The sequence below is a fragment of the Homo sapiens genome, chromosome 9 (genome assembly GCF_000001405.40).
Source record: "Homo sapiens chromosome 9, GRCh38.p14 Primary Assembly".
NCBI lineage: Eukaryota > Metazoa > Chordata > Mammalia > Primates > Hominidae > Homo > Homo sapiens.
The window spans coordinates 123,192,583-123,213,958 of NC_000009.12; the positions used below are offsets into that span (position 1 = coordinate 123,192,583).

The 21,376-nt window shown below is 38.0% G+C and overlaps 1 protein-coding gene across 10 annotated transcripts in view; it reads right to left on the reverse strand.

The window, feature by feature from the left end:
- The window catches only part of STRBP (spermatid perinuclear RNA binding protein), a 159,093-nt gene that overhangs the window by 83,089 nt on the left and 54,628 nt on the right, over nucleotides 1-21,376 (reverse strand). The window contains exons 2-3 of one of the 10 annotated variants that reach the window (NM_001376107.1): nucleotides 21,007-21,336; nucleotides 20,003-20,126 (exon numbers count right to left, since the gene is read on the reverse strand). The exons of 8 other annotated variants lie outside the window; for them this stretch is intronic. The gene's annotated coding sequence lies outside the window, so the exon portion shown is untranslated. Of the gene's footprint in view, nucleotides 1-20,002; nucleotides 20,127-21,006; nucleotides 21,337-21,376 lie in introns of those variants that run through there. One more of the 10 variants, XM_047423562.1, reaches the window with a different exon arrangement.

The following is a 21,376-nucleotide window of genomic DNA, read 5'->3' on the forward strand; positions in this document are numbered from 1 at the left end:
CCCATCTCAATTTTTAAAAAGGGAAAGGGGGATAGTGCATAGGAACAGGAATCTTGTTTTAATCCTTGTTTTACTACTACAGATATCTAATAATTCAAGGATACTTACATATTTGGAAGTCTTGTATACCACTGTGTAAAGTTGTTTTACTATGTTTTACCATTTACGGGGATTTATCCTCTCCTATACTATTCCCATTTCAGCCCATCATTGAGGAAAATTTTACCTTGAGAACATCAGACTCCTCTTCAAAACCTTCAATAACCACTAATTACCTAAGCAACTGGCACTAAACTCAAATATTCAGTGGCATCCAAGGTCCTATCGTCATTCTTGTCATTTCTCTCACCACCACAGCTCCAGTCAACACGGGAATAATGACTCTATGCCAGAACACCTTGCAATGTGCTACCGCTAAGCTTGAGTTAAACGATTCCCTTACCTGGACTGCAGCCACTACGCCATCATGATTTGTCATTGTTCTATTCATCAAATGCCCATCTCAAATCTACCCCTCCATGAAGCCTTACCTAATACTTCAGTTTATATAATTTCTTCCTCCTTTGAGCCATCCAGCACTTTTTCAGCTTCCTTTATATTTCTATTACTCAGTTTTAATGATATGATTTACTATTATCTCCACAGCACCTAGTACATCGCCCTGCACTCAGCAGAGGCTCAATAGAATTTGAATTCAACCCTAAATTTATCCTTCCTTAGAGTGCCATAACCACAGAATCTAAGGAGGTTCCATCCAAAAGGTCACCATCTCTTCCCATTATTTCCATGGCAGTCATCACCACAGTGACTAACAGGGAATTTCTGACTCGTCCTCCATAAGCACAAATTCCATTACTTATTTGACTTCTCCATCTTGGATTAATCCCCCAAACCCTATCCCATTCCTTCAGGACTTTAGTGCTGTACTTAGCTCAGTGACACACTCAACTTTACTTCTGGCATAAATATTAGAATTTTAATAACCGCAGAGATGACCCTTCTAAAATTCAGGCTTCTCCAGTCCTTGTATTCCTTTCCTCCAATGTTCTCATCTTCTTTCCTATTTTAGACAAACACGCCCCACCGGGACCTACAATCGCTAATGCTACCACTTTTCACAGTCCCTCATCCTTTTCATGCCCTCATTTCTGTCCTTATCCAACCGAAATTACGTGATCCATCATTTATCATTCATACCAGCAACTGCTTCTCTTTCCTTCTCCTAGCAAAACTCTAACCCTGTTAAATCCAAGCCTCTTGGCCACACCACATCATTAACCATGTACCATTAAATATAACTAAGAAAAAAAAGTATCACATAATCATGCTAATTAGTCTTTTTCATGACCATTAGCCTCAAAAGGCCCAATAATCAATAGTTCTAAAGGGATGTGAAAATGTGAAGTCAAGTTTTTTTAGTTGTAAGAATGACTAGGTAGGTAATCCTGGCATTTGGGACCCTGGAATGCAAAATATCCTGCCGTGTCCAAGATCTGTCCCACCTAAAATGCAAGTAGGAGCCTCAATGAAAAAGTTAAATGTTCATTCACTTCCTCACTCTCCTAATGATTTTCTCACACTTCTCTTGTCTCTTCAAACATCTATACTCTTACCTCTTCATATTCAACAGGTCACCCTGCTTCCTACTTCATGCAAATTGCCAACCTTGCTGCATCATTAACCATATATTCTTCCTTCCTGTTATTATAAATGAACTGTCCCCATTCCTATCTAATGCAAATTCCTGAACTCAAACTCTACTGGATCCCACCTCCTTTTGCCTACTTGGGATGTCACTCAGTAATCATCCCCTCTTCTCTCTTTCCTCTCCTGTATCATCCATTTTACCCATTCTACTGAGTCATTTCTATCAGCATTCCCACATGTTGTAATAGCACCCATCAATAAAAATAAAAAGGGAAAAAACATTAAAAACCATCCTTGACCTCTTGCTTTGCTACAGCTACTAGCCCAATTCTCTGCTCTCATTCTAGAGCATAACTGAGTTTACACTTTGGGTTTTTATTTCCTCTCCTTCCATTCTCTCTTAAAACCATCCCAATCAGCCTCTCATCCCAATGCTCCATCAAAACAGCTCTTGTCAAGGTCCCCTAGGATTTCCATGGTATTTAATGCTGTGAATAATTCTCAGTCCTCCTCTTAGTTGACTTCTCAGCAACAGTTGACACAGTTGACTGTTCCCTACACTTTACTCCCCTTGGCTTCCATCTAAGACACCACTCTCTTAGTTCTCCTCCTACTTTATAAATTACTCCCTTGTATCCTTTTCTTCTTTATCTCCACAACCTCTAAACGCTGAAGTGCCTCAAGACTCAGCCCTCAGACTTCATCTCTTCTCTATCTTACCTTCAACATTCCCTTGGCAATGTTATCTAGGTTTGAGACTTTAAATACCATCTATATACTGAGGATCTCCCAAATTCATATGGACCTGAGTTCCAAATTCACATTCAAATAAATAATCAACACATCCACTTGGATGTTTAATAAGCATCTTAAACCTAATGCATCAAAAACAAAAAACAAAACAAAACAAAACAAAAAACCACACAAGTTTGCTCCTCCTGGTCTTCCCTCCCTCAAGAGAAGGCAACTACTTCATCCCTTTAATTGTTCATGCCAAAAACTTGAAAGTCATCCCTGACTCCTTTCTTCCTCCCACATCTCACATCTGATCCATCATTAAATCCTGTTACCTATACCTTACAACACTATCTAAAATCTGACTATTGGGAAGTCCTAGCTAAAATAATCAGACAAGAGAATGAAATAAGGAGCATTCAAATTGGAAAGAAGCCAAATTATCCTTATTTGCAGATAATATGATCTCATATTTGCAAAAACCTGAAAACTGCACCAAAAAAACTATTAGAACTGACAAACAAATTCAGTAAAGTTGCAGGATACAAAATCAACATACAAAAATCAGTAGCATTTCTATATGCCAACAGCAAACACTCTGAAAGAAATCAAGAAAATAATCCCATTTATAATGGCTGTGAATAAAACTAAATACCTAGGACTAAACGTAGCCAAAGAAGTGAAAGATCTCTACAATGAAAACTATAAAGTGCTGATGGAAGAAATTGAAGAGGACACAAAAAAATTGAAAAGATATTCTATATTCATGGATTGGAAGCGTCAATATTGTTAAAATGTCCATACCATCCAAAGCAATCTACAGGTTCAATGCAATCTCTGCTAAAATACTAATGACAGTCTTCACAGAAATAGAAAAAAATAAAATCCTAAAATTTACACAGTACCACCAAAGACCCAGACTAGCCAAAACTATCGTGAGTAAAAAGAACAAAACTGGAGGAATTACATTATCTGACTTCAAATTATATGACAGAGCTGTTGTAACAAAAACAGCATAGTGCTGGCATAAAAACAGACACATGCTGATATAAAAACAGACACAAAGACCAATGGAACATAATAGAGAACCCAGAAGTAAATCCATACATCTCCAGTGGATATTCATTTGTGACAAAGGTTCAAAGAACATACACTATGGAAAGGACAGGGTCTTCAATAAATGGTGCTGGGAAAACTGGATATCCATATGCGAAAGAAGGAAATTAGACCCCTATCTTTCATCATATACAAAAATCAAATCAAAGTGGATTAAAGAATTAATCTAAGGCCTGAAACTATAAAACTACTAAAAGAAAACATTGAGAAACTATCCAGGACATTGGACTGGGCAATGCTGTATTGAGTAATGCCCCACAGCAAAGGCCACCAAGGCAAAAATGGACAAATGGTATCACATCAAGTTGAAAAGCTTCTGCAAAGCAAAGGAAACAATCAACAAAGTAAAGAGACAACCCAAAGAATGGAAGAAAATAGTTCCATTAGATGCAAACTATCCATCTGACAACAGATTAATAACCAAAATATACAGGGAGCTCAAACAACTCAATAGGAAAAAAAAATCTAATAACCCAATTAAAAAATGGACAAAAAATTTGAATAGGTACTTCTCAAAAGAAGGCATACTAATGGCAAACAGGTGTATGAAATGGTACTCAACATCACTGATCATCAGAGAAATGCAAATCAAAACTATAATGCGATATAATCTTATCCCAGTTAAAATGGCTTTTATCCAAAAAGCAGGCAATAACAAATGCTGGCAAAGATATATAGAAAAGGAAACCCTTGTATACTGTTGGTAGGAATGTAAATTAGTTCAACCAGTTTGGAGAACAGTTTGAAGGTTCCTCAAAAAACTAAACATGGAACTACTATATGATTCAGCAATCTCACGGCTAGGTATATACCCAAAAGAAAAGAAATCAGTACATCGAAAAGGTAACTGCACTCCCATGCTTATTGCAGCACTATTAACAATAGCCAAGATTTGGAAGCAACCTAAATGTCCGTGAAGAGACGAATGAATAAAGTAAATATGGTACATATACATAATGGAGTACTATTCTGCCATAAAAAAGAATGAGATCTTGTTACTTGCAACAACAACATGGATGGAACTGGAAGTCATTAGGTTAAATGAAGTAAGCCAGACACAGAAAAAAAAACTTCAAATGTTCTTACTCATCTGTGGAAGCTAAAAATTAAACAATTAAACTCAAAGAAATAGAGAGCAGAATGATGGTTATCAGAGGCCGAGAGGGTGGGGAAGAAGTGGAGATGGTATATGGGTACAAAAAACATAGTTAAATAGAAGGAAAACAATCTAGTATTTGATAACACAACAGGGTGATTACAGTCAGTAATTTTTTTTATTTCAATTCCTTTTGGGGTACAAGTGGGTTTTGTTACATGGACGAAATATAAAATGGTAAATTCTGAAATTTTAGTGCACTCATCACCCAAGTAGTGTACACTATACCTAATGTGTAGTTTTTTGTTAATCCCAGGCTCCCCTCCCGCCGTGCCTCTTCTGAGTCTCTAAAATTCATTATATCACTCCGTATGCCTTTGGGTACTCATAACTTAGCTTTCACTTACTCATAGCTTGGCTTTCCACTCCTGTGATACTTCACTTAGAATAATGGCCTCTAGCTCCATACAAGTTGCTGTGAAACATATTTCTTTTTTTTTTTTTTTTTTTTTTTTTGACACGGAGTCTCGCTCTGTCACCTAGGCTGGAATGCAGTAGCGCGATCTCAGCTCACTGCAACCTCCACCTCCCGGGTTCAAGCGATTCTCCTGCCTCAGCTTCCCGAGTAGCTGGGATTACAGGTACCAGCCACCATGTCCCGCTAATTTTTGTATTTTTAGTAGAGACAGGGTTTCACCCTGTTGGGTGGCTTGTCTCAAACTCCTGACCTCAAGTTATCTGTTTGCCTAGACCTCTCAAAGTGCTGGGATTACAGGCGTGAGCCACGGAGCCTGGCTCTGTCTTTTTAATAATGACCATTCTTTCAGGAGTAGGGTGGTATCTCACTGTGGTTTTAATCTGCATTTCCCTGGTGATTAGTGATGTTGAGCATTTTTTTCATATGTATCCTGGCCATTTATATATTTTCTTTTCAGAAATGTCTATTCATGTCTTTTGCCTACTTTTTATTTTTTATTTTTTTGAGACAGAGTCTCACTCCATCACCCAGGCTGAAGTGCAATGGCACGATCTCAGCTCACCGCAATCTCCACCTCCTGGGTTCAAGCAAATCTCCCACCTCAGCCTCCCAAGTAGCTAACTGGCACCCGCCATCATGCCAGGCTAATTTTTTTTGTATTTTTGTAGAGACACATTTTCACTATATTGGCCAGGCTGGTCTTTAACTCCTGACATCAGGTGATCCACCCACCTCAGCCTTCCAAAGTTCTGGGATTACAGGTGTGAGCCACGGCGCCCGGCCTTTTGCCTGCTTTTTAATGGGATTTTTTTTTTCTTGATTTGAGTTCCTTATAGATTCTGGATACTAGTCCTTGGTTGGACGCGTAGTTTGAAAATACTTTCACCTATTGTGTGGGTTGCCTGTTTACTCTATTATTTCTTTTGCAGAAGCTTTTTAGTTTAATTAGGTCCCATTTATTTATTTTTGTTTTTGTTGCATGTGCTTTCGGGGTCTTAGCCATAAATTCTTTGCCTAGGCCAATGTCTAGAAGAATTTTTCCAACATTACCTTCTAGAATTTTTATTGTCTCAGGTCTTACATTTAAGTCCTTGTTCCATCTTGATTTTTGTATATAGTGAGAGATAGACAGTTTCATTCATCTACTACATGTAGCTTGCCAATTTTCCCAGGACCATTTATTAAATAGTGTCCATTCCCCAATTTATGTTTATGTATGCTTCATCAAAGATCAGTTGGCTGTACATATTTGGCTTATTTCTGGGCTCTCTATTCTGTTTCATTTGTCTATGTCCCTACTTCTTTTTTTGAGATGGAGTCTGACTCTGTCGCCAGGCTGGAGTGCAGTGGCACAATCTGGGCTCACTGCAGCCTCTGCCTCCTGGGTTCAAGCGATTCTCTTGCCTCAGCCTCCCGAGTAGCTGGGACTACAGGCACGTGCCACCACATCCGGCTAATTTTTAGTAGAGATGGGGTTTCATCATTTTGGCCAGGATGGTCTCGATCTTTTGACCTGTGATCTGCCCGCCTCAGCCTCCCAAAGTGCTGGGATTACGGGCGTGAGCCACCGCACCCAGCCTATGTGCCTACTTTTATACCAGCACCATATACTGTTTTGGTAACTGTATCCTCGTAGTACAGTTTGAAGTCCAGTAATGTGATGCCTCCAGATTTGTTATTTTTGCTTAGAATGGCTTTGACTACGCAGGCTCTTTTTTGGTTCCACACGAATTTTAGGATTGTTTTTTCTAATTCTGTGAAAAATGATGTTGGTATTTTGATGGGAAGTGCATTGAATCTGTAGATTGCTTTGGGCAGTATAGTCATTTTCACAATATTGATTCTTCCAATCCATGGGCATAGGATGTGTTTCCATTTGTTTGTATCATCTACAGTTTCTTTCAGCAGTGCTTTGTAGTTCTCCTTGTAGAGATCTTTCACCTCCTTGGTTAGGTATATTCCTAGTTATTTTATTTTATTTGCAGATGTTATAAAAGGGACTGAGTTCTTGATTTGATTCTAAGCTTGATCATTGCTGGTGTATAGCAGTGCTATCGATTTGTGTACACTGATATTACAAACTGAGAGTTTACTGAATTTGTTTATCAAATCTAAGAGTCTTTATGACTTTCTAGCCATACAATCATATCATCTGCAAACAGCAATAATTTGACTCTCTCCTTTCCAATTTGGATACCCTTTATTTCTTTCTCTTGCCTAACTGATCTGGCTAGTACTTCCAGAACTATGTTTAATAGGAGTGGTGAAAGTGGGCATCCTTGTCTTGTTCCTGCTCTCGGGGAAATGCTTTCAACTTTTCCCCATTCCGTATGATGTTGGCTGTGCGTTAGTCATAGACGGCTTTTATTATTTTAAGGTAGGTCCCTTCCATGCCTACTCTCAACAGTTTGTTGACAGTTTTTATCATAAAGTGTGCTGGATTTTGTCAAATGCTTTTTCTGCATCTATTGAGATGATCATATGGCTTTTGTTTTTAATTGTTTATGTGCTGTATCACATTTACTGACTTGCATATTTTAAACTACTCCTACTAGACAAGTTTCTTGAAAACAGCAGATACTTCGATTCTGTACCCATTCTGCCATGAAACCCACTTGATCATGATCAATTATCTTTTTGATGTGTTGTTGAATTCAGTTAGCTAATATTTTGTTGAGGATTTTTGCATCTATGTTCATCACAAAAATTGCTCTGCAGTTTTCTTCTTTTGTTGTGTCCTTTCCTAGTTTTCTAATTAGGGTGATACTGGTTTCACAGAATGATCTAGGGAGGATTCCTTCTCTCAATCTTTTGGAATAGTTTCAGTAGGATTGGTACCAAGTCTCTGAATGTCTGGTAGAATTCAGCTGTGAATTCATCTGATCCTGGGCTTTTTCTGTTGGCAATTTTTTTGTCTTTTTTTTTTTTTTTGAGACGGAATCTCACTCTGTCACCCAGGCTAGAGTGCAGTGGCGCGAACTCGGCTCACTGCAAGCTCCGCCTCCTGGGTTCACCCTATTCTCCTGTCTCAGCCTCCCGAGTAGCTGGGACTACAGGCGCCCCGCCACACACCCCGCTAATTTTTTTTTTTTTTTTTTTTTTTTTTTTAGTAGAGACCAGGTTTCACCATGTTAGCCAGGATGGTCTCGATGTCCTGACCTCATGAGCCGCCCGCCTCGGCCTCCCAACATGCTGGGATTACAGGCATGAGCCACCATGCCTGGCTGGCAATTTTTTAATTACTGATTTAATCTCACTGCTTGTTATTGGTCTGTTCAAGGTTTTATTTCTTCCTGATTTAATCTAGGAAGGTTGTACGTTTCCAGGAATTTGACCATTTCCTCTGGCTTTTCTAGTTTGTGCACATAAAGGTGTTAATAGTAGTCTGGAATGATCTTTTGTATTTCTGTGGTGTCAAGTGCAATGTCACCAGTTTCATTTCTAATTGAGCTTATTTGGGCCTTCTCTCTTCTTGATTAATCTAGCTCATGGTCTATCAATTTTATTTTTTCGAAGCGACAGCATATTTCACTGATCTTTTGTATTTTTTTGTGTGTGTTTGAATTTCATTTAGTTCTGCTCTGATCTTTGTTACTTCTTCTTCTAGCTTTTTGTTCCTGTTTCTCCAGTTCCTTGAGGTGTGACATTAGGTTGTCAATTTGTGCTCTGAAATTCTGATGTAGGCATTTAGTGCTATAAGCTTTCCCTCAGCACTGCTTTTGCTGTATCCCAAAGGTTTTGATAACTTGTCTCATTATTATCATTCATTTCAAAGAATTTTAAAATTTCCATCTTGGTTTCATTGTTAACCCAGATATCATTCAGGAGCAGAATATTTAATTTCCATGTATTTGTACAGTTTTGAGAGTTCCTTTTTGACTAGTACTTCCAGAACAGTACTTCTTTGACTAGTACAAACTAGAGTTGATTTCTAGTTTTATGCCGCTGTGGTCTGCAGGGATACTGGATATAATTTCGATTTTTTAAAATTTATTGAGACTTGCTTTGTGGCCTATCATATAATCTATCTTGGACAATGTTCCATGTGCTGATAAAAATGTATATTCTGCAGATCTTAGGTAGAATGTTCTCTAAATATCAGTCCATTTGTTCTAGCATTTCGTTTAAGTCCACTGTTTCTCAGTTGACTTTTAGTCTCAAAGATCTGTCTAGTGCTGTCAGTGGTGTACTGAAATCTACCACTGCTATTGTTTTGCTGTCTATCTCATTTCTTAGGTCTAGCAGTAATCGTTTTACAAATCTGGGAGTTCCAGTGTTAGGTGCGTATAACTTTAGAATTGTAATATCTTGTTGAATTGATTGTTTTATTATTATATAGTGACTATATTTGCCTTTACTGTTGTTGAAGTTTGTTTTGTCTAAGAATAGCTACTCCTGTTTGCTTTTGGTTTCCATTTATGTAGAATACCTTTTTCCACTTTTCTGAGTTTACAGGACTCCTTCTCTGTTAGGTGAGTTTCTTGAAGACAGCAGATATTTGGATTCTGTATCCATTCTGCCATTCTGTATGTTAGGTGGAGCTAGTTTAGGCCACTGACATTCAATGCTAATATTGAGATGTGAAGTATCATTCTCTTCCTCATGTTGTTACCTAGTTTGTTTGTTTGCTTTTTTCATTGTATAATTGTTTTACAGATCCTGTGGGTTTTAAGCTTTCCACTTTGGTGTATATCAGGCTTTTGTTTCAAGGTTTATAACTCCTTTTAGCATTTCTTGTAGTGCTGGTTTGGTAGGGACAAATTCCCCTGGCATTTGTTTAAAATGACTTTATTTCTCCTTCATTTACAAAACTTAGTTTTGTGGGATAAAAAATTCTTGGCTGACAGTTGTTCTGTTTAAAGAGGTTGAAGACAGGACCCTAATCTCTTTTGGCTTGTAAGGTTTCTGCTGAGAAGTCTGCTGTTACTTTGATAGGTTTTCCTTTGTAGGTTATCTGATGCTTTTGTCTTACTGGCTTTAGAATTCTTTCCTTCATCAGTTAACAAAAATTTACTGTACATTTAAAAATAGATAAAAGAGTATAACTGGAATGTCTGTTACACAAAGAAATGAAAAATGCTTAAAGTGATAGATGCCCCATTTACCCTAATGTGATTGTTATCCATTGTATGCCTATCAGAACATCACACCTACTCCATAAATATATACACCTACTATCTACCCTTAAAAAACTGAAAATTAAAATTTAAAAATCTAAAAAATAAAAATAAAATAAAATCTGATGACTTTTAACCACGTCCACCATAACCAACCTGGTCAGAGCAACCACCATCTCTCACTTGGATTATACATTGCCTTCCAACTAGTTATCTTACTTCCCCACCTGAAAATAAACCCTTCCCCAGAGTTTATTCTCAGCAACAGCATCCAGAGTATTCCTGCTAATCTACATTAGCATCCAGGCATGGTGACTCACACCTGTAATCCTAATACTTTGGGAGGCTAAGATGGGAGGACTGCTTGAGGCCAGGAGTTCAAGACAGCCTGGGCAATATAACAAGACCCTCTCTCTACAAAAAATTTAGGCAGGCATGGTGGCGTGTGCCTTCAGTCCTAACTACTTGGGAGGCTGAGGCAGGAGGATCACTTGAGCCCGGAAGTTTGAGGCTGCCGTGAGCTATGATCACTCCATTGCATGCCAGCCTGGGTAACACAGCAAGATCCCATCCCTAAAAAAGAAAAAAAAAAAAGAATCTAAATTACGTAACAGCATTCCTCTGCTCAAAACCTTCTAATAGTTTCCTGTCTCTGAGTAAATACTTCACAATAATTAAGGCTATAAGGCCCTAATAATCTGATTCCCGTTAACTTCTTGGCCTCAACCTCTATCACTATTCCTCACTCACTGTGCTCTACTCACAATAGTATCCTTGCTGACGTTCCCACCTCAGAGCCTTTCCACTTGCTAGTTTGCCCCCAATATCCACATCACCCCTTCTCTCACTTCTTAGGTGTCTGCTCAAATGTCATCTTATGAGCCTATCTCTGACCACCCTATGTAAAATAGCGACCTCGGCCAGGCGCGGTGGCTCACACCTGTAATCCCAGCACTTTGGGAGGCTGAGGCAGGTGCATCACCTGATGTCAGGAGTTCATGACCAGCCTGACCAATATGGTGAAACCCTGTCTCTACTAAAATTACAAAAATTAGCCGGGCATGGTGGCAGGCGCTTGTAGTCCTAGCTACTCGGGAGTCTGAGGCAGGAGAACTGCTTGAACCCAGGAGGCAGAGGTTGCAGTGAGCCAAGATCGCGCCACTGCACTCCAGCCTGGGCAACAGAGCAAGACTCTGTCTCAAAAAAACAAAAAAACAAAACAAACAAACAAACAAAAAAGCAACTTCTCTCACAGCAGCCCCTCCCAAAGCACATCTGTTTTATTTTTCTGCATAGGATTTACCATTGGCAGATGGTGTCTTTGTTTACTCTGCATTGCACACCTAAAACAATGTCTGGCACAAAAGAGAAACACAAACGAATTTCTCAAAATATTTTCTCATACAGGATCACATTCAATGCTCACATGATCCTGAAAAGCAGTAAAGAACAGATAAATTTTTTAATAATCTTTTAAATTGTGAAAGCACAAATATACAAAGATGTTAAATGATTTGTCTATGATCACACAGTGAAGTAACTGCAGAACTAACCCTAGAATTGGGGTCCCCAACATCTTTTCCAATTCACATCACTGTCTCCACAAACAAATCAAAGAGCAGGTGTATATTTGATTTCACACAGTGATCTTTAAAAAGCTCAAGATGGCATCTATTCCTTTAAACCACGATCAAACATGAAATAGCACCAGAATAGTACATGACTCCGTAGCTATTTATTTTCTTCTAACTAAAAGGGAGTAATAGAGGTCATCAGACTATTTTTAGAATTTACCGATTTTGTGACAATTCTGACTAAAAGGAAAAAGGGGTAATGTGCCAAGAAACAGTTAAGAATTCAAATATGCTGTGCATGGTGGCTCACACCTGTAATCCCAGCACTTTGGGAGGCCGAAGTGGGTGGATCACAAGGTCAGGAGATCGAGACCATCCTGGCTAACACAGTAAAACCCCGTCTCTACTAAAAATACAGAAAAAAAAAAATTAGCCAGGCATGGTGGCGGATGCCTGTAGTCCCAGCTACTCGGGAGGCTGAGGCAGGAAAATGATGTGAACCCGGAAGGCAGAGGTTGCAGTGAGCCGAGACTGCGCCACTGCACTCTAGCCTGGGCAACAGAACAGGACTCCATCTCAAAAAAAAAAAAAAAAAAGAAAGAAAGAAAGGAAAAAAAAAAAAGAATTCAAATATTCGGCCAGGCACGGTAGCTCACACGCCTGTAATCCCAGCACTTTGGGAGGCCGAAGTGGGCAGATCACCCGAGGTCAGGAGTTCAAGACCAGCCTGGCCAACATGGCAAAACTCCGTCTCTACTAAAAATACAAAAATTAGCTGGGTGTGGTGGCGGGCACCTGTAATCCCAGCTACTTGAGAGGCTGAGGCAAGAGAATTGTTTGAACCTAGGAGGCAGAGGTTGCAGTGAGCCGAGTTTGCACCACTGCACTCCAGCTGGGCAACAAGAGCAAAACTCTGTCTCAAAAACAAAAAGAATTCAAATATTCTCTGTCCTCCTCTGTCTGCTGAAGCACACTTAACACTGAAGGGTAAACCAATACCTTGGTAAACAAGCTTAAAACAGTGTCTTTGATTCTCAAAAGACCTTCTGTTGCCATTCTGTACCACAGAGCATGGCAAAACAAAACAAAACCCATATCTGGAGACAGAATGGACACGATTATTTCTCTTAATGAGGTAAGTTTGCAAAACGAACTTAGAATCTGCAATCCAGTTATAAGCAAGCAGTAATGTTAACAAATTACCAATTTTGAAACAAGCAAAAATAATAATATTCAGCTTAGCAAAATAAATAGGTTTTAACCTACAAAAAGAAATACATAGATTCACCAATATTGTGTCCATACAAGAAAATTATCTTATACTACTTAAAAGTGCTAAAAATTAATAAGTACATTAGATCCTTCAGTAATATAGTAATTTAATTTCCAGGCTCTTGCTACTATTCATTCTTCTCTTTCTGGCATCCTCTGCCACAGTTGGAAACTGTGTATCTAGGTCAGAAAAGACAAGTAGCTTTTCAGAACAATTCAATATCTTTGGCTCAGGTGTTGATATTATAATTCAACCCTTTCACAAACTCCTTTTAAAACCTGACGTAAATCACAAGATTAGTACTACTGATATTTATGAAAAACCACTGGAAAAAGTAATTTGGAGATAACGGACAAAAGAAGAATCTAAGACAGGCCATCCAATGTAATTGGTATAAAAGCAATAGATTGGGGTCAAAAGATCTGTATTACAGTTCCGGCTCGACTCCTAACGTGTTCGCCAATTGTGAACAAACCTCAATTCTGAGCCTCAATTCCATCGCTTATAAGGAAATGGGGTGAACTATACCTAGATTACTTTTTACTTTTTTAAGTCTACCTGAATATGATTCTATGATACACGAGAAATCTGCAAGTACATTCCTATGAGATCAGTTAAAACTATTCCTTAAAAGTGTATGTTTTGCAATGTAATCATATTTTAAATACCGTAGATAAAGCTAAAAAACAGACAATTGGGGAAATTCGGACACTGAATATTTGACATTTGGGGATTACTTCTGGAGTGTAATAATGGCATTATGTGAGTTTCATTTTGGAATGGGGGAGTCATACCTTTTAGAGATACATACCAAACTACTTACAGATGAATGTATGAATGTGGATATCTGGGATTTTAAAAAAATAATCCAGTTGCAGGGGCAAGGAAGTAAAATACAATTGGCCATATGTTGATAGGTATTGAAAATGAATGACAGGGGGTTCTTTATGGTTCACTGGGGTTCTTGCTACTTGTTTATGTCTGAACATTTCCATAATAAGATTTTTTTTTCTTTTTTTCTTTATTTTTTTTATTTTTGACACGGGTTTCACTCTGGTTGCCCAGGCTGGAGTGCAATAGCGCAATCTCGGCTCATCACAACCTCCGCCTCCCGGGTCCAAGTGACTCTCCTGCCTCAGCCTCCTGAGTAGCTGGAATTACAGGCACCCGCCACCACGCTCAGCTAATTTTGTATTTTTAGTAGAGACGGGGTTTCGCCATGTTGGTCAGGCTGGTCTCGAACTACTGACCTCAGGTGATCCGCCCACCTTGGCCTCCCAAAGTGCTAGAATTACAGGCATGAGCCACCGCGCCCAGCCAAGAAGATTTTTTAAATATGAACAAATTTATCAAGAATCTAATCAACCAACTTTCCGTTTTTCTGTGGTAAAATGAGATTTTCATGTCATATTTTCTGCTTTGGAAAGTCCATTATGTCTAATTGCATAAAACCAAAGCAGGTGAAACTATAAAAGAATAAAAAAAACAGCTCGAGGAGCAATTTAATAGTAACTGATAACGTCAAAGATGCGGATACCCTATAAGCAATGATACCACTTCTATTTACAGCACCTAGAGTAACTTCAACACAGAAACCCAATAAGACAGACAACACCAACATTTACTGTAGCACTGATTTTGTGCATTATCACAAAATACTGGCAATCTAAATGTCCATCAACAAGAGAATAAAGATATACACTGCACAGTTTATGAATGACAGTGATCCACTTCATCATGTCTAAAGTCAAAAACAAAGTTGGAGGAAAAAGCTAGTTGCAGAATAGCATGAACAAAGTGATGCCCTGAATATAAGCTTGAAAAAACATAAGATAATGTTACATATCATTTATGGAGAGAGATACAGACATACTTTTTTAGTATAAAAAACATTCAAAGTAATGACAAAAAATTCAGGAGAGTGGTTACCTTTGGGAAAAGTAGGATTAGAACACATCAGGAAAGCGGGGTCGGGGGCTAGGGGAGGGATAGCATTCGGAGAAATACCTAATGTACATGACGGGTCGATGGGTGCAGCAAACCACCAAGGCATGTGTATACCTATTCACAAACCTGCACGTTCTGCACATGTATCCCAGAACTTAAAGTATAATAAAAAGTTCAAAAAAAGAACACATCAGGGAGGGATATACACATAATACATATCTGAGCTACTATTTCTTAGAGGAAAAAAATCTGAAACAAGTTTGGTAAAACATTAGAATATGAGAGAGATATTTGTGGTGAACACACAGTTGTTTATCATATTCTATTTTTGTCTATAAGCTTTAAACAATTTCTAATTTCAAAATATTTTTAAAATTATGTGAACACGTAAGATACGTAGAAACAAAAGGAACTTTGATCCTCTTTAGCAAGAAGCTACTTTAGCTTTGGTTTTAGCCTTCCGGTACTAGCAAAATAAGTATTCAATGTAAACTAAATATTGATATTGAGTAGAAGGTACAAGAAAGTTCTCCATCAAAGAAGACTGTAAGTTTTTTTTTTTTTTTTAAGTGGAATGAGACATATTCCAACATAGAATTATCTAGGGGAGTAAACAAGACATTCAAAGTATTCGAGGGTGCTGGCTAAAGTCACTGTCACTATAACGAAGGTTACAAAAAGCACCAAAGAAGGTAATACTGCCCCAAAACATTCTAATTTTAACTCCAGTAATACTTTTGTTAGGACAGATCTATGGAAAGCCCAGGATGTTTCCCAAGTCCTGTAACCTGGCAGAACTCAGCCTCCAAGTTCTGCTTTCTCCGCAGATTTCATCAGGATTTGCTTACAGACCTTAGCTAGCGCACAGTTTGTTGTTAAGAGGGTCCTAGAGTAGGACTTACTCTAGTGCAGGAGTCAGCAAACTTTTTCTTAAGGGGAGGGGCAAAATAGTAAATATTGTAGACTGGTGGGCCACACAGTCTCTGTGGCAACTGCTGACATTTGCCATTGTAGTATAAAAGCATCCATAAACAACATATACATGAATAAGTATGGCTATGATTTAACAGTATTGCTTACCCCAGCTTTACCACATGGTCTTTCTTGCATTTCATCCAGATGCCTGGGAGGTCTCTCAATTGTGGCTGGGACAAAGTTTTAACATCCCCTAGCCACATACTTCTAGTATTTGTTCCACTGCCAATCCTGTGGCAGCCACCTGATAAACCCTCCAGTCTTTCCCCATCATGGACAGCCCAACACTCTGACAAGAATTCACAAGAGACTCACAAACAAACATTTGGGAACCTCTCTTGTACAGCTTCTTCTTGTCTGGTTCCCTTCCCCGAACACTTTAGCTGTCTCAAGTGTACCAAACTCCAACCTCTGCCTCCTCAACATGGTTAGGTGACATGCTCTGCTTGCATTCCAGCTCAGCAAACTGTCCTCAGGCAGAGAACAGGAGTAATCACTGAGCTCTCCTCATAAATGTCAAGATCACAATCCTGTGCAGCCTGTTGCCCAAAGCCTGAAAATCTTCCCACATATATTCTGTTAAGTTTCATAATTGTTTATGGCAAGAAGGCTAGTCTAGAACTAGTTACCCATAATACTTAGAAGTCTTAGTCAATAAACATTCTAGTTTCTACTATATATCAAGACCTCAGCTGGGGCACAGTTAAATATGATGCTATGGTATAATCGAAAGAACATCAGGGTGAGCATAACTAGCCATTTATTCATCCATCTAACCAACAAATACTTACTAAGCATCTACAAATACCAGGAAAGCACTTGACTTTATGTCTTCAAGGCTTCAGTATTAACAATACACTCTAAAGTGGGATGATAACCTGCCCACCTAATCACATAGATTTGTGGTAAGAATTAAATGTAAAAATGTAAAAGCATTTGATAAAGTACTACACAATATGTTATTTTTGTGATGCCTACAATCATATTCTTCTTAGTAAACCACAAGAAGTTCACCATGTACACTTTCCCAACGCAGAAACAACATGTAAAGAGGATGGCTCTAAAAGAGTATGGGGTGTATGTATGCATGTATGTGTGCACATGTGTGCTGATGAGGGAGGTTTCCAGATTTCAAATCTGCTAGAGAACAGAGTGCATACATGGAAGTGACAGGAGATACAGGTATTTACCATACAATGTTGATAAGCAGAATGAAATATTTTCAAGCTCAGTAATAAAAATAATTTTCAAAATAAATAATAAGTTTGTCTCGATAAATTACACTGGTCATACTCATTTTCTCATCAATGGTTGCCATACACACACACACAAATTTATTCATATATATAAACAAGGTTCAGAGAAAGGGTAAATCATTCAAGAAACATATAGGCTGCTGAGAATTTAGGGAAAAGTCATGGTAGCAGACCAGTGAACCTTATTCAGATACTTGTATTCAAAAAACAAATGTGAATCTAGCTTTTAAGAGAGGCTTATTTTCTATTCAGTGGTTGGGAATGAGCAATTTGTAGTTATATATATTGGTATATTCGAAAATGCTTCCTGTTCTTTCATTTTCTTAAACTATCTTCTTCATCTATTCTACCACTGCAATCTCAAGCCTTTAAATAAGTGTCAACTATAGAGTTAACAGATATGGGCATCGAAAATGAGAAAAACAAAAGTCAATTATTTCTTAAAGACACAAAAGTATAACCATAAAATAAATCTGAGTATTAAAATCAAGAACTTTTGGTCATCAAAAAACACCCTAAAGATGGTAAAAAGACAAGTTACAAACAAGATTTTTGGAATACATACACCCAACAAAAGATAAACATCAAGAATACAAAAAGAAGTCTTTTTATATTCCAAAAGAAAAGAAAAAAAAAATCCAGGAGTAGGATAAGAAAAAAACAGAAAAAAAAGGCAAGAACAAGCATTTCACAGAAGGTAAAACACAAAACCAATAAAAATAGAAGAAACATTATTATAAAAAATGATCAAGCAGGCCGGGCGCAGTGGCTCACGCCTGTAATCCCAGCACTTTGGGAGGCTGAGGTGGATCACGAGGTCAGGAGTTCAAGACCAGCCTGACCAAGATGGTGAAACCCCGTCTCTACTAAAAATACACAAAAATTAGCTGGGTGCGGTGGCAGTCGCCTGTAATCCCAGCTACTCAGTAGGCTGAGGTATGAGAATCGCTTGAACCTGGGAGACGGAGGCTGCAGTGAGCCAAGATCGTGCCACTGCACTCTAGCCTGGGCAACAGAGCAAGAATCCGTTTCAAAAAAAAAAAAAGATCAACCAAATGCAATAAAAATGAAATACCATTTTACATCTATTCAAGCTCCAAAAACACCAGAAATCTAAAAATACCAAGAACTGGAAAAAATGTGGACCCACAATGGCTTTTTATGTATTGATGGTAGGAAAAAATGTTCAGTCTTCCACAAATTGAAGTCCCATAACCTATTATGCAGGGATTTTACTCCTAGGTATACACTAAGAGAAACTCACACATGTACAAACAACAGACACATATTAGAATGTTCATAGCAAGACTGTTCACAACAGCAAAAACCTGGAAAACATGCAAAACGTCCATTCACAGGTAAATGAATTAAACTATGTACATTAAGATAATAGATTATTCGACAAAGTGAATGAACTACAATGACATGCAACATTATGAATAAATTTTAGCATTACATTAAGTAAAAACAATAAGTTCCAAATGATTACATCATAGAATAACCTTTTTATAAAAAATAAACCAAAATAAAAAAGTATTCCTTCTAAGAATCCATAAAGATGTGATAAAGACAAATAAAAACAGAAAGAGGGTGAATACAAAATTCAGGTTTGAATTCTGTCGAGGAAGCCATGGGGATAGGATGGTTGGGGAAACCTGGAAGTCACATATAGGTTATTATAATAAGTACCTACCTTTTTTTTCCCCAATGGTGGATAAACAAGTGCTTATTGCAGGCCAATGAAACTATGTCATAAACAAGGACTATGACTAATCCATTATCTAATTCTGTGCACATTATAACCAATTCTTTAAAAAGCTTCTCAGCCTATATTAAATTTTTACTAAATTAAGTTTTGGTCTTCCTGACTGAAGTATAATTTTTTAAATTTAGGCCAAATCGGTTCAACTATAAAGAGTTGTTATACTATTTTCCTAATATGGATAACTTTAAAATATTGAATTGCTAATATAGTGTCCTCCTAACTTATCACATATGAGTATAATTCACAGACTATAATTTGACTCATGGTATATCCAATATAACAGTATTAATAAAACTGCAACTGAGTAAGTACTCAGTTTGCTACATACTAGAAAGAGAACAAAAACTTCCATAATCTATAGAAAATAATCTTGCTTTTTACAAGATGACTTCTCACCTAACCCCTAAAATATAGACACTAACTCAAAAAGAACCTTCTTACTCCTGAATGACACTTTCAAGTCAACCTTAGTATTTTTCCCAACCTTTTGCTCTGAATAAGAAAAGTAAAATGCAAAACTTCTTCCTTAATACGGATTTTTTTCAGTTATTAGAAAACTCAACATTAGGATTTTCCTAACAACTCAGCCACTTAATAAATAAATGCACGTGTATACATTTAACACTTCAGGGGAAGGTAAGACTATAAAAAGAATTTGTTCTAGTGAGTTTCAATTACCGCATTTTGTCATTTCCAATACGGTACTCACAGAACTTTATATTCACCTACCTCTGACACGGGTTCATGAGGAAAACAGTATATATTAATAATTGATAAGCATTTGTCGAATGATTTTCATATGTAAAATGGATCTCTTGCCTGAATTTCCAGTGGAAAACAAACTTCAAACTACTAAAATTCGTATATTTATTAGCTGCAAGGTTTTAAACTATCCAACTATTTGGATAATACTGACACCCCCAACGCCCCTCCCTAGCCAAAAAAGAGACAGAAAAGGAGGAAAGAACAAGCAACGCCAGCAATGATGTGAGAAGTCGATTCAGTTATTTAGTTGTTATTCACCTGTCAAACATTCCCAGATGTCCTTGGCTTTCCCAAGATAGATCCTTCACATGACTATCAAGAATATTATCCACAGATAAGCAGGATAAGAACATTGAAGACAATCTAGAAATAGAGACATTTCCTACCAGGCAAGACACCAATAAGTGAATAAATTTGAGTCTTAAATACACAAATACGCATTCCCATACAGCGTTATACAAAGCAATTCTTATTAAAAATTAAGCAAAGTAAATTCTGCATCACAGACATTCCTGTGTGGTTCAAAATCTCAGTATTTCACAGATAAAAGGGCCAGACTCATAAATTTTAAAACTCTCACAAGATCATGCAACTAGTAAATGGCAGAGATTAAGTGCAAATTCAGGTCTGATGACTAGACTTCAAAGAAAATTAAATAAAAAAATAGAACTATGTCAGGAGACCAGGGCTATAGTGTTGAAATGGCCACTCAGCCATAAAGGCTTTTCCCTGGCTCTGTAAATTCTGTTTCCTGAAAAATAATCATCACCCACCTATGTGCTCCCAAGGCCGCAATGAAGGTTCATTTACTAACAGTCATGGTAGTAGTTTGAAAAGCACAGTCTTATATAAGCAGGGAAGATTACCCTTCCAACCTAATCAGCGTACTGAAACTCAAGGGACAGCAATATAACGCCATGAACTTGTGACTGGTGTTTTCTCAGTATGCAACAAATTCTCCAATTCAAGAAGAATCCTGACAAAATCTCAGTTATTCAGAATGTGTAACTGATAAATGGAAAAGTACAGCCACCAGGTTCGTTTTTCGAAACTTGATAACTTTATTAAGGCAGGAGAACAGAATCGACTAAATTCAGCTTCAAAAAGCCTACCCACAAAACCCTAACAGTAATAATGCCCAAATACTCAGCTACATCTTTTACATGAATTACTTCATTTAATCCTCAAAAACCATCTGTGGAGAATATGATTATACCAACTGGACAGAGGAAACAATAGTTTAGAGGAATGAAGTGACTTACCTGAGATCAAGCAGCTAGTCTGCGACAGAGCCAGGACTAGAATCAGACCACCTGCGGCCAGTCACAGTGGCTCATACCTGTAATTCCAGCACTTTAGGAGCCAAGGCGGGTGGATCACCTGAGGTCAGGAGTTCGAGACCAGCCTGGCCAACATGGTGAAACCCCGACGCTACTAAAAATACAAAAATTAGCCAGGCATGGTGGTGCGCACCTGTAGTCCCAGCTACTCAGGAAGCCGAGGCAGAATTGCTTGAACCTGGGAGGCGGAGATTGCAGTGAGCCGAGATTGCGCCACTGTACTCCAGCCAGCGTGACAAAGCGAGACTCCATCTCAAAAAAAAAAAAAAAAAGAATCACTAAAAGTAGAACT